Raw genomic sequence first — 422 nt, forward strand, 5'->3', positions numbered from 1 at the left:
CTTCCCAGCTCCCCATCCATCTGCTGAGAGCTACCTCCACCTTACTTGCACTCATTCTCCAAGCCCATGTGTGATCTCATTTTTCCCATACACCAAGGCAAGAACCCAGGACAGAAAGCCCTCTGTCCTTGCAATAAGGCAGAAGGTCTAATTGAGTGGATAAACACAAGCCACCTACAGATGGCAAAACTAAAAGAGCACACTGTAACACATACCCACTGGGGCTTCAGGAGCTGCAAAAACATTCACCCCTAGACGCTGCCGTGGGGTCGGAGCCCACGCTCCCCAGGACGTGCCCATCTGCCTACTCTCCCTAGGGGTTTTGAGAGTCAGGAACTGAAGAAGCGAGCCACACCCCTGACACACGGCCTGCGAGGGGGACAAGGAAATTTTTCCTGTTTCAGTATTAGGTGTGGACTTAC

Source organism: Homo sapiens, chromosome 4 (genome assembly GCF_000001405.40).
Source record: "Homo sapiens chromosome 4, GRCh38.p14 Primary Assembly".
Lineage (NCBI taxonomy): Eukaryota > Metazoa > Chordata > Mammalia > Primates > Hominidae > Homo > Homo sapiens.